The 12,654-nt window shown below is 44.4% G+C and overlaps 1 long non-coding RNA gene across 2 annotated transcripts, besides 1 other annotated feature; it reads right to left on the bottom strand.

The window, feature by feature from the left end:
• Positions 1 to 4,984: 4,984 nt before the first annotated feature.
• On the bottom strand, positions 4,985 to 11,435 carry LOC107984369 (uncharacterized). 2 transcript variants are annotated; one of them, XR_001748072.1, is made up of 3 exons: positions 11,298 to 11,435; positions 9,899 to 10,021; positions 4,985 to 5,024 (listed from the first exon to the last, which is right to left on the bottom strand). It is a non-coding gene; the product is annotated as an uncharacterized LOC107984369 (long non-coding RNA). The 2 variants fall into 2 exon arrangements; XR_001748073.1 differs by lacking the exon at positions 11,298 to 11,435 and adding an exon at positions 10,842 to 11,269.
• Positions 6,383 to 6,616: a transcriptional cis regulatory region, noted in NCBI's record as "candidate enhancer chr11.4537 targeted for multiplex CRISPR interference". NCBI's record gives its function as "positively regulates CLNS1A gene expression in K562 cells {active_cell/tissue: K562}" and the evidence as "EXISTENCE:mutant phenotype evidence [ECO:0000015][PMID:30612741]".
• Positions 11,436 to 12,654: the final 1,219 nt, after the last annotated feature.

Below are 12,654 nucleotides of genomic sequence, written 5' to 3'. Positions count from 1 at the left end.
CTGAGGTTTTTTGTTTTGTTTTGTTTTTGTTTTAGATGGAGTCTTGCTCGGTCGCCCAGGCTGGAGTGCAGTGGCATGATCTCGGCTCATTGCAACCTCCGCCTCCCGGATTCAAGCAATTCTCCTGCCTCAGCCTCCTGAGTAGCTGGGATTACAGGCACCTGCCACCACGCCTGGCTAATTTTTTTTTTGTATTTTTAGTACAGATAGGTTTTCACCATATTGGCCAGGCTGGTTTCGAACTCCTGACCTTGTGATCCATCCACCTCAGCCTCCCGAAGTGCCCCAGCTCACACAGGCATGAGCCACCGCACCTGGCCCTGAGTTTTGTATATTGAGTTTGTAACCTGTAACCTTGCTGAACTTTATTTAGCTCTAATAAATTTTCTGACGTGGATTCCCTTAAGATTTTCTAGATACAAGATAATGTCATCTGTGACTAGAAATAGAGGGATTCCTTTTGTTTATTTTTCTCGCCTAATTGCCTGGCTAGAACCTCCAGTACAATGAAGAAACATAGCGAAAATGGACACCCTTCTGTTGTTCGCGATCCTAGGTGAAAACATTCAGTATTTCACAATTAAGTATGAAGTTAGCTGAGGGTTTTCATAGATGTCTTTTATCTGATTGAGGAAGTTACCTTCCTCTCCTAATTTTTTAGTTTGCCAGTCTTTTTATCATGAAAGGGAGTTGGATTTTGTCAAATGCTTTTTCTGTATCCATTGAGATGGTTATATGGCTTCTCCCTTTAGTAATATGGTGTATTACATTAATTTTCATATGTTCAATCAACCTTTCATTCCTGGGATAAATCCCACTTGGCTACTGTGTCGGGAATCTCCAAGATCACTCCAGGATCAATGATTCACCAGGAGGACTGACAGCTGTCATTTATTACAGTGAAAAGATAAAAAACATAATCAGCAAAGGGACATGGCCCATGGGCAGAAACGAGGTAATTAAGTACATGCTTCCAAAGGTCCTCTCTCAGAGGAGTCACACGAGACTGACTTAATTATGACAACACATGTGAAAAGGTACCTACCTGTGCAGCTCACTAGAGGCTAGGGGCAAGTTTTTACTGGGAGCCAGTCACACAAACACCATTTTGCCTAGCACATACCGAAATGTCAGACCCCAGAAGGAAAGCACGTGTTCAGCATAAGCCATGTTGTTTGCACAAACACAAGGCACAGTGAGCCCCTCTACAGCCAGGGTAGTAGGAATCGTCTCAAAATCAAAGTTCCCAGGCACTAGTGAAGTGCTAAGCTTGTAAGCAGGTCTTTCTAATGATAAGTATTCTCAGGTTTGCTATGATAGTCTTTTTTTTTTTGCACAATCCAACCTCTTGGCTCTTATATAAGAGCAAAAGACACCTTATTGTAAAAGAGTTTATAATAATTAGGGCACTGCAAAACAGAATATGCATTAGTCAGGCAGTACAGGTTAACAGAGTGCCCAATGTGGCCTCCCACCATGGGGCCTCTAACCCATGGGTTCCCACTGTAGTCTGAAATAATTCAGCTCAGGTCAGGCCTGGTGGCTCATGCCTATAATTCCAGGACTTTGGGAGGCTGAGGCAGATGGATTGCTTGAACTCAGAAGTTTGAGACCAGCCTGGACAACATGGCAAAACCTGGTCTCTACAAAAAATACAAAAGTTAGCTGGGCATGGTGGCATGTGCCTGTGGTCCCGGCTACTTGGGGTTGAGGTGGGAGGATTGCTTGAGCCCATGAGGTCAAGGCTACAGTGAGCCATGATAGAGCCACTGCACTCCAGTCTGGATGGAATGAGATCCTGTCTTTAAAATTAAAATAAAATAAAATAAAACAATTCAGCTCAGTTCTTGATATCAGAGGTACTGCAGTCAGTTCCAAACAGCTTTTGTTTGTTTGTTTGTTTGTTTGTTTGTTTTTTGAGAGGGAGTCTCACTGTCTGCCAGGCTGGAGTGCAGTGGCGCCATCTCAGCTCACTGCAAGCTCCGCCTCCCAAGTTCACGCCATTCTCCTGCCTCAGCCTCCCGAGTAGCTGAGACTACAGGCACCCCCCACCACACCCAGCTAATTTTTTGTATTTTTAGTAGAGATGGGGTTTCACCATGTTAGCCAGGATGATCTCGATCTCCTGACCTTGTGGTCCGCCTAGCCTTGGCCTCCCAAAGTGCTGGGATTACAGGTGTGAGCCACTGCGCCCGGCCAGTTCCAAACAGTTTTGCTTGTCCTTGACATCAATTCATCAGTCTCATGAGTGTGGATGACATCCGTAAGTGTTCTGCCTGGAAAGCTGAGGAGCAGGGACCACTCTTGCTGTCTCAAAGTCAGCTCTATCAGCTGTGATCATAGGCTTAGAAGTCAGTTTGAATAAAAGGTGCTCAAAGCAGCTCGGAAAGGCAGCACGGGAAGTTTTTGTTCAGTAAGAGGGGAAAGTTTCCAGAAACAACTCTGAAAAACAAGAACATCAATTCCCTTCTTGCCCTTGCCCTCAACCAGGCCTCCCCAGGTGCTGGGGCTCTGTTTTCCTACACGTTTACAAAATCAGTGTGTTCCATTTAGTCAGTGATCAATATCTTACATTTTTTTCATCCCATACTCTAACCCGGACCTTTTGTCTGGAGGAGTTGTATGTAAGAAGGACAAAAGAATTTTCACCGATATTATAGAACAGTTTCTTAACACCTAAATAAAGAAAAAAAAAAAAGAAAATGAAGAATAAGAATAAAAATAAAGACAAAAATAATAAATGAAAAAATAGAAAAAGAATTTTCACAGAAAAATATTTTTATACCACTTAATCAAAAAGACACATCATGTTCAGAAGTTGGTCAGGACAACATCCTGAATTTTCATGCATTTTCAAAATGGGTTTATATAACTTCTCAGCCCTTTAATCCTGATTATTTATCCAGTGAGCATCCTAGAAAAGCCTTGCTTTTCTGAAGATAGCGGCATTTTACAATCAAGCTGCACTTAGATTTGTGTACCAGGAGAAAGATGAGAGAAGTAGGGTTAGGGTATCATCAATCCATTGTTGAAACTGCAAATAATTAGGAAATTCAAGCACGAGTCAACAGTAGTGAGGCATTCCTGAGAAAGGGTTGAGTCTAATCTGTCAGAGGGCTCATACTGTTTGTGATGTGCCCTCCCCTAAGTTGCAGCTTTTGGCAGGGATCACACATTAGGAATGCAATCAGTCTCTGCATCCAAAATATAGAGATGATGAGTAATTTAATTTCACACAATCTCATCGGAGAATAAACACTTTCTTGTAGGTATCTGCAAGTGACCCAGATGGACCAGCCAGTTTCCCTGATGTTTTCACAATTTATGGCCCCACAAAGGACTGTCCTAAATCTGCAGTGGTCCATGAGTGGAAGAGCTGTTTTTGAGCATATGTCTGCTTTCAGTTCTGCACAGCTCATGTTGAGACTGAAACAGGCCCATAACAGACAGTATCTAGTTTTATGTAGTGTGAGTTCCAGGCAATTAGGGTCTGTGAATTCAGGATAACATAAAAGCCAGTAGCTTCTTCAGCACCAGCAAAGTCAATATGCTTCAGGACCACAAAACTGTGTTCCAAATCTAAGTGACAAGCAGGATTCCACTGACCCTTTTTGTCTTATTAGTCTTATAGTCCAAAATGACCCACTTAAAAATCACACATCGGCCAGGCGCGGTGGCTCATGCCTGTAATCCCAGCACTTTGGGAGGCCGAGGCGGGCGGATCATCTGAGGTCGGGAGTTTGAGACCAGCCTGGCCAACATGGTGAAACCCCATCTCTACTAAAAATATAAAATTAGCCGGGCGTGGTGGCGCTTGTCTGTAATCCCAGCTACTCGGCAGGCTGAGGCAGGAGAATCGCTTGAACTCGGGAGGCAGAGGTTGCAGTGAGCTGAGATGGCACCATTGCACTCCAGCCTGGGCAACAAGACTAAAACTCTGTCTCAAAAAAAAAAAAAGAAAAAAAAAATCGCGTATCAGGCCAGAAAATCATCTGTCTCTTAAGGGTCAAGTGTCTGATTTCACAAAAGCTTATTACCAAAATAAAAACTGCTTTTGAAACTCCAAAAATATATCTCTCTGGAGATTGCCTTTTCATGTTGCCTCCCATTTTCCTGAAGCTCTAATAAGCAAAAATTGTAGTATAAATAGTTATGGGCCAGGCATGGTGGCTCATGCATGTAATCCCAGCACTTTGGGAGGCCAAGGCAGGCGGATCACCTGAGGTCAGGAGTTCAAGACCAGCTTGACTAACATGGTGAAACCCCGTCTCTACTAAAAATACAAAAAAAATTAGCCAGGTGTAGTGATGGGCGCCTGTAATCCCGGCTACTTGGGAGGCTGAGGTAGGAGAATCGCTTGAACCCGGGAGGCAGAGATTGCAGTGAGCCGAGATCACGCCATTGCACTCCAGCCTGGGCAACAGAGTGAGACTGTCTCTAATAATAATAATAATAATAATAATAAGAAGAAGAAGAAGAAGAAGAAGAAGAAGAAGAAGAAGAAGAAGAAGTTATGGAGAATTGTTCTGTTTCCAGTACTCAATGAACTTATATTCTAATGTGTCCACAAAAAAGCAAGGTTTTGACCACAAAATGAGTTAATTAAGTCATTTCACTAATGCGTTTTCCTTTTTCTCTCTTTAATTTTTATTTTCATTCCCTTCTTTTCACAGGTGTTGATCATTAACATGTTGTCTTTGCAGCTTTCCATGATTGGAATGGTTCCTCCAGCATTTATGAAATTACAAGCATATAGGCCAGGCTCAGTGGCTCTGTGTCCCACCACTTTGGGAGGCTGAGGCGGATGGATCATGTGAGGTCAGGAGTTCGAGACCAGCCTGATCAACATGGAGAAACCCTGTCTCTACTAAAAATACAAAATTAGCTGGGCATGGTGGCACATGTCTGTAATCCCAGCTACTCGGGAGGCTGAGGCAGGAGAATTGCTTGAACCCGGGAGGCGGAGGTTGCGGTGAGCCGAGATTGTGCCATTGCACTCCAGCCTGGGCAACAAGAGGGAAAGTCTGTCTCAAACAAACAAACAAACAAACAAACAAAAAGAAAGAAATTAGAAGCATATAACATTTTACGTCAATGTTTATACATCCAGATATAACAGCCACAAAATACGAAACCATTTTTTTAAATTCCCCATTTTTTTGCTCTCACTGCAAATTTACTCAAACCTCAGTAGTAAATTCAGCATTTACAGGGTTAACATTTGAGTTTCCAGAGAAGATCTTGGCTGGAATCTAAGGAGTGGGCATGGTGGGTCTGCTGCATCAGTGGCAGCAGCTAGGCTGAAGAATGAGTTGGGGTATTCTTCTCCCTCTGTTTTGTCTAAAATTTTACTGTAGCCCTGAACTCTAATGTTATCTTTTTTCCCCCCACCTGGAAGAGAGGTTATTTTTTCCACCTGGAAGACAGAACAAATATAAAAGGTATCATCTGGACTGCATCCCTCCCCAACCCTGTGTTAGCCTGAAGAGCCAAAAGCAGCCAGGGGTTCCACTAAGCCAAATCTCCTGGAGTTGGAGCTATCATTTTAAAATTCCATAGGTAACTTCTGCCCCTCACAACAGAGTTTCAGCTGCTTTATTATACCATGGATGATTCCATAGCCACCCAGGCACCAAAGATTCATCATACCCCATTCCCCTTCATCTTTCCTCTACCCAAACAATGCGTGGACCACATATCATTGAGTCAGGGTCATTCTAGTGAATTTCACTTTTGACACGTACTGTGTCAGGGTCATCAAGACAACTCTTAGGATGGACAGGAGGATGCATAGGACTCAGCATATAATCATACTCATGCTATTTGTCTTAGATGATGGGTGAGAAGGAGTTCTTTTACAAAGTAGCCAGGCATGGTGGCTCACATCTGTAATCCCAGAATTTTGGGAGGCAAGGCAGAAGGATCACCTGAGCCCAGGAGTTTGAGACCAGCCTGGGCAACATAGTGAGACTTCATCTCTAGAAAAAAAATTTTTTTAATCTGTTAGGCATAGTGGTACACACCTGTACTCCCAGCTACTCAAGAGGCTGAGGTTACAATTGCCACTCCAAAATCATAACTGAGACACTGAAAGACATCTGACTTAACCAACTCCATCTTGCCTCTAACTCCAAGCTGTCATTATTCATTCCTGGGCATTAGCTGAACTGACTTTGGGAGGCACTTAGTTTATAATCCGCAGTTTAGAACAAAGACAATAACAGCCCTTTCCCAAAACAAACCCACATCTTGCCTGGGGACTAGACTGCCTAAGTAGGACTAACAAATTAGCCAAAAGATCAATTCTGACCCTCTCCAAATTGCTCCTGGGGATAACATCACTATTGTAAGGCCTAAGATCTGTGCCTGAGATGTTTTGCAGCCCCTGCACTTGATGGATCAGCTGGCACCACCCAGCTCAATAAACTGGCTCATTTGATCCTGTGGCCCCCACCCAGGAACTGACTCAGCACAAGAAGACAGCTTGGACTCCCTGTGATTTCATCTCTGACCAATCAGCACTCCCGACTCACCGGCACCCCATACCCACCAAATTATCCTTAAAAACTGATCCCTGGCCAGTGTGGTGGCTCATACCTATAATCCCAGCACTTTAGGGGGCCAAGGCAGGCAGATCACTTGAGGTCAGGAATTCGAGACCAATCTGGCAGTATGATGAAACCTCATCTCTACTAAAAACACAAAAATTAGCCATGTGTGGTGGCACACCTCTGTAGTCCCAGCTACTCAGGAGGCTGAGGCAGGAGAATCTTGAACCTAGAGGCGGAGGCTGCAGTGAGCCGAGATTGCCCCACTGCACTCCAGCCTGGGGGACAGAGTGAGACTCTGTCTCAAAAAAAAAGAAAGAAAAGGAAAGGAAGGAAGGAAGCAAGGAAGGAGGGAGGGAGGGAGGGAGAGAGAAAAGGAAGGAAGGAAGGAGGGAGGGAAGGAAGGAAGGAGGGATGGAGGGAAGGAAGGAAGGAAGGAAGGAGAGAAAAAAACAAAAACAAAGATTTTGAGAAGGATCTATCTACTTTCAATTCCTGGGGTTCCATGAAGAAAACAGAGGTTTTTCCCAAAACGGATTGTGTGGCACCTCCTCTGTTTTTCCCAAGGAGTCTCAGGCTATTAGAAGCTATCTTAGAGCCTCTCATGCATGCATTGAGTGGCAAGAAAAAATGGAGAAAAATAATTCAGTTGACTGAAAAGAAAAAACTTTTTTCTAGAACAACAAGATCCAAGATAAAAAAAAAAGCATAAAGGCCTTTTAAATATACCTATTGGATATCCACTTCTTTTTTGAGATGGAGGCTCACTCTTTCTCCCAGGCTGGAGTGCAGTGGTGCAGTCTCAGCTCACTGTAGCCTCCACCTCCCAGATTCAAGTGATTTTCTTGCCTCAATCTCCCGAGTAGCAGGGACCACAGGCCCACAACACCACGCCTGGCTGATTTTTGTATTTTTTTGTAGAGACGGGGTTTCACCATGTTGCCCAGGCTGGTCTCAAACTCCTGGGCTAATGCAATCTTCCTGCTTCAGCCTCCCAAAGTGCTGAGATTATAGCTGCCAGCCACTGCTCCTGGCAGATATCCACTTTTAATTAAGCTGACTTTTAACCATAGTGCTCTTTTTAAAATCCTCTTAGATCTCTTATTACCTGACTTTAGCCATGCCAAGTGGCCAAAATTTCTGGACTTTGAACTTTACAAAAGGTAACCTCCCAGGTGTTTAGAGAAAGGAAAATTCAAGAAGGGAACCCTGAAGTTGTTCATGGAGGGGAAGAGAATTAACAAATGATTAAGGTCACACAGGCCAGGTGTGGTGGCTCATGCCTATAATCCCAGCACTTTGGGAGGCTGAGGTGGGCAGATCGCGAGGTCAGGAGATCGAGACCAGCCTGGCCAACATGGTGAAACCCTCTCTACTAAAAATACAAAAAACTTAGCCAGGCATGGTGGTGGGCGCCTGTAATCCCAGCTACTCGGGTGTCTGTCAGGAGAATCTCTTGAACCCAGGAGGCGGAGTCTGCGGTGAGCCGAGATCACACCACTGTACTCCAGCCTGGGCAACAGAGCAAGACTCCGTCTCAAAAAAAAAAAAAAAAGGAACAAAAAAAAGTCACACAAATATCACCCAGAAAGTACTCATATCCTGAGCCAGGAATTGAACTCAGGCCACCACTGTAAAATGGCAAAGCCTTAGCTGCTGAGCTACAGCACCGAGCTCTTTCTGTTGCCCTTCCCAGAAGGAGTCTAAGGTAGTTAATTTTGAGCTTGCAAACACTTTTAACTCCTGAAAATGATTTTTGGAGCTAACTATGACATGAACCCCCAAATTCCTGTTTCCTGGAAAATGGAGACCAAGAGAAAGTACTCTCACATGGTTACAAGGTCAGGCTCCTAAGGACATGAAACAAGATGGAGACCTCATCCAGTTTTTCTGTTTTTTTTTGTTGGTTTGTTTTTTGTTTTTTTGTTTTTTCTTAAGAGACTTGTAGCAAAGTTTGGAACTGACTAGTTTGCTGGGGTGGTTTGAACAGCGGGCTTATGGGGTCCTTTTGTTTTATCCTAAGGTACTTCTCTTTATGACAGACGCATACAGAAAGACACACAAAGCCCACCAGATTCGCTACTGTTTAACAAGAGCCTTAAAATCCTTTGTTGCATTAAGAAAAACTTTACAGAGGATATAAACAGTGATTGTTATCATTCATTCAACTGGTTTGCACAGAGAGAGGACAGACATCTGATTGGTAAGAAATCCTTTCACTTTTGCTGGTTGCCTTTTCCCTGAGTTGTTCTAGTAACCTGGCTCACTGCACTATAGCCCTGGGGGCCAAGTTGCAACACAAAGAGAATTTATCTTTTTCCACATTGGCCAGAGCAAAATACATGTGACAAAACATAGACATTAGCCACTCCACTTAGCACCCAATATCAAACGGGCAAGACTCAAACTTGCCCCTGGATGGGCCCTGTCATCTTTAAATCTTTTTAGAAGCTTCTGCATATTAATAGGCATCCCTAGATGAGACTAATTTGGGAGCCCTCATTTTTAAATGCACTTCAGTGCATTGTTGTTCAGTTGAAACTTTCCACTGTAAGTTATGTTTAGTAAAATTTTGCCATTTCTGTAAGGCTCTGCTGCTTCCCAGGCCTAACACTTATGCAGGTATAAGCTGGAAGAAACTCAGTCCTCCAGAAATTAAGGATCTATTTTTACCTAAGATATTGGCTTCACTTTCAGTTTCCCTTGATCAGCTTAGCCAATGATTTTTTCCTACCTAAGCAAGCAAAAAAAATGAAATAAAGGGGAGGAACAGAAAAATCCCTGTGAATTTTCAAAAGCCAAATTTTACAACCCCAACAATACCACCACGTACTACCAGTTTCTTTCTGGCCTAGTCAGATATAAAAGGCCTCTAACTGGATTCAAGCCAGTTAATTACCAGATCAAATTTGATCCTGGACCCAGTCTAGTTTCTGTCGCAACTTCTAAACCTAGTTTGGAAAAGAAATTTGCTCAAAGAAACTCAGAGAGCTGGCCGGGTGTGGTGGCTTATGCCTGTAATCCCAGCACTTTGGGAGGCTGAGGTGGGTGGATCACTTGAAGGTCAGGAGCTCCAGACCAGCCTGGCCAACATGGAGAAACCCCATCTCTACTAAAAATATAAAAAATTAGCTGGGTGTGGTGGTGCATGCCTGTAATCCCAGCTACTCAGGAGGGGGCAGGAGAATTGCTTGAACCCAGGAGGCGGAGGTCACAGTGAGCCAAGATCTCGCCATTGCACTCAGCCTGGGCAACAAGAGCAAAACTCTGTCTCAGAAAAAAAAAAAAAAGGAACTCAGAGAGCTCAAAACACTAATCTGTGGAGCTCTGAAATCTGAGAGAGAACTTACCAGGAACCCCAGCTGCTGTGACAGATCAAAGGACACAGTGGATTCTGCAGGTAACTTGCTTGTTCACTCAGCACTCCTGGGGATCGTTACAACCTCTACTTCAGATCCCACTTCTGACACCATCTGTTAAAAGAAAAACTTCAGCAGAATTAAATTTCAAGGAGTTTAATTGAGCAATGAATAATTTGCAAATCAAGCAGCCCCCAGAATCACAGCAGATTCAGAGAGATTCCAGGGATGCCTCATGGTCACAACAAATTTATAGACAAAAAACAAGAGAAGTGATGTACAAGAATTGGAAGTGAGGTACAGAAACAGCTGGGTTGGTTACAGGTTGGCATCTGCCTTATTTGAACACAGTTTGAACACTCAACAGTGTATGAGTTGTTGAAGTATGGCTGCTGGGATTGGCCAAGGCTCAACTATTGTTACAGGTGAATACTCCTAAGTTAGGTTTTCAAAGTTATCTCCCTATTAACTTAGGTTACAGTGCATCCACAAGGACTCAAATATAGAAGTACAGAGCCCTCCTCAACCCATATTTAATTCACTTTAACACTACCAACAAACTAGTCTACGTTAAAGGAAAAAAAAATTTTTTTGAGATGGAGTCTTGCTCTGCCACCCAGGCTAGAGTGCAGTGGCACAATCATGGCTCACTGTAGCCTCCACTTCTGAGGCTCAAATGATCCTCTCACCTCAGCCTCCCAAGTAGCTGGGATCACAGGCACATGCCACCATGCTGGGCTAATTTATTTATTTATTTTTTGGTAGAGATGGGGGTCTCACTATGTTGCCCAGGCTGATCTCAAACACGTTAAAAATTTAATGCCAGCCTAACTGTTGAGAAGATAGAAACAAAACTACCCCACACATCCTGTCCTCCAGCCTCAGCAGTCCTACTGCAAAGGTATTACCATACTGAGTTTACAAGGGGATTTACTTGAATTTCACTTGTTCTCTCATGGCCAAATTATTGCTCTTGAGTTTAATGCCTCAGGTCTCTCATCTGTAAAGTGGGTCAATAATAGTAACTTCACAAACTTGCAAAGAGTAAATGAAGAGATGATGCAAGCAAAGTGCAGGTAAAGTGCCTGGAAGAGAGCCTGGCACAGAACACTCGTTAACTTTAGCTACCATTATGACGATTTTGGAAGTCTTTCTTCCTATTACTACTATACTCTTTAGTGCCTAACGAAGAAACAAAACATCAATTGCAATTTTGGTGGATTAATTCCTTTCCAGTCAGTGCCCCAGCTCCTTACTGATGTAGCTAGCTCTTCACCCTGCCCTTATTAACCCTTTATACTTATCTGCCCACCTGACACGTGGGGACGTGGCTTGTGCACTAGGGCAGTATAAGGACCTAGATTGATGTATGCTACTTGGTTGTGTATACCTGAGATGTGAACAGTCCCAGGAGATGGGGACGGGGTGGCCAGATCAGAACATCATAACCGAGTTGGGAGACTTCTGAGCTCCAGATGAGTGGTCTCTATGTCCTATGCATCCTTTGGCAAGGGACTCCATGTATTAGTCTTTCTCTCTTTGTTTTTTTTTTTTTTTTTTTTTTTTTTTGAGACAGTGTTTCGCTCTTGTTGCCCAGGCTGGAGTGCAATGGCGTGATCTCGGCTCACCGCAACCTCCGCCTCCCGGGTTCAAGCAATTCTCCTGCCTCAGCCTCCCGAGTAGCTAGGATTACAGGCATGCGCCACCACGCCAGGCTAATTGTGCATTTTTAGTAGAGACGGGGTTTCTCCATGTTGGTCAGGCTGGTCTCGAATTCCCGACGTCAGGTGATCCGTCCGCCTCGGCCTCCAAAATGCTGGGATTACAGGCGTGAGCCATTGCCACCGGTGTATTACTCTTTCTCTATTGCAATTCCCCTGTCTTGATAAATAGGCTCTGTCTAAGCAGCAGGCACGGTGATCCCATTGGGCAGTTACAACAGGGTTGTATGTAACTGGGTTACAGGGTTGTAACAGGGTTGCTGCTGTAATGGCCCAATGGGTTCACCTTGCCTGTTGCCTAGACAGAGCTGATTTATCAAGATGGAAATTGTAACAGAAAAACAGTAATTCACGCAGAGCTGCTGTGCAGGAGACTAGAGTTTGTTGTTGTTGTTTTGAGACGGAGTCTCTCTCTGTCGCCCAGGCTGGAGTGCCAAGGCGCGACCTCGGCTCACTGCAAGCTCCGCCTCTCGGGTTCACGCCATTCTCCCGCTTCAACCTCCCGAGTAGCTGGGACTACAGGCACCTGCCACCACGCCCGGCTAATTTTGTTTTTGTATTTTTAGTCGAGACGGGGTTTCACCGTGTTAGCCAGGCTGGTCTCGATCTCCTGTCCTCGTGATCTGCCCGCCTCGGCCTCCCAAAGTGCTGGGATTACAAGCATGAGCCACTGCACCCGGCCTAGAGTTTTATTTTTACTCAAATCAGTTTCCCAGAGCATTCAGGGATCAAAGTTTTTTTGTTTTTTGTTTTTTGTTGTTTTTTTTTTTTTTTTGAGACGGGGTCTCGCTCTGTCGCCCAGGCTGGAGTGCAGTGGCGCTATCTCGGCTCACTGCAAGCTCTGCCTCCCGGGTTCACGCCATTCTCCTGCCTCAGCCTCCCCAGTAGCTGGGACCACAGGCGCCTGCCACCACACCCGGCTAATTTTTTTGTATTTTTAGTAGAGACGGGGTTTCACCATGTTAGCCAGAATGGTCTTGATCTCCTGACCTCGTGATCCGCCCGCCTCGGCCTCCCAAAGTGCTG

Source organism: Homo sapiens, chromosome 11, assembly GCF_000001405.40.
Source record: "Homo sapiens chromosome 11, GRCh38.p14 Primary Assembly".
NCBI classification, from domain to species: Eukaryota; Metazoa; Chordata; class Mammalia; order Primates; family Hominidae; genus Homo; species Homo sapiens.
Note: the sequence above shows the minus strand (reverse complement) of the source record. Positions and strands in the feature narration are given on the sequence as shown.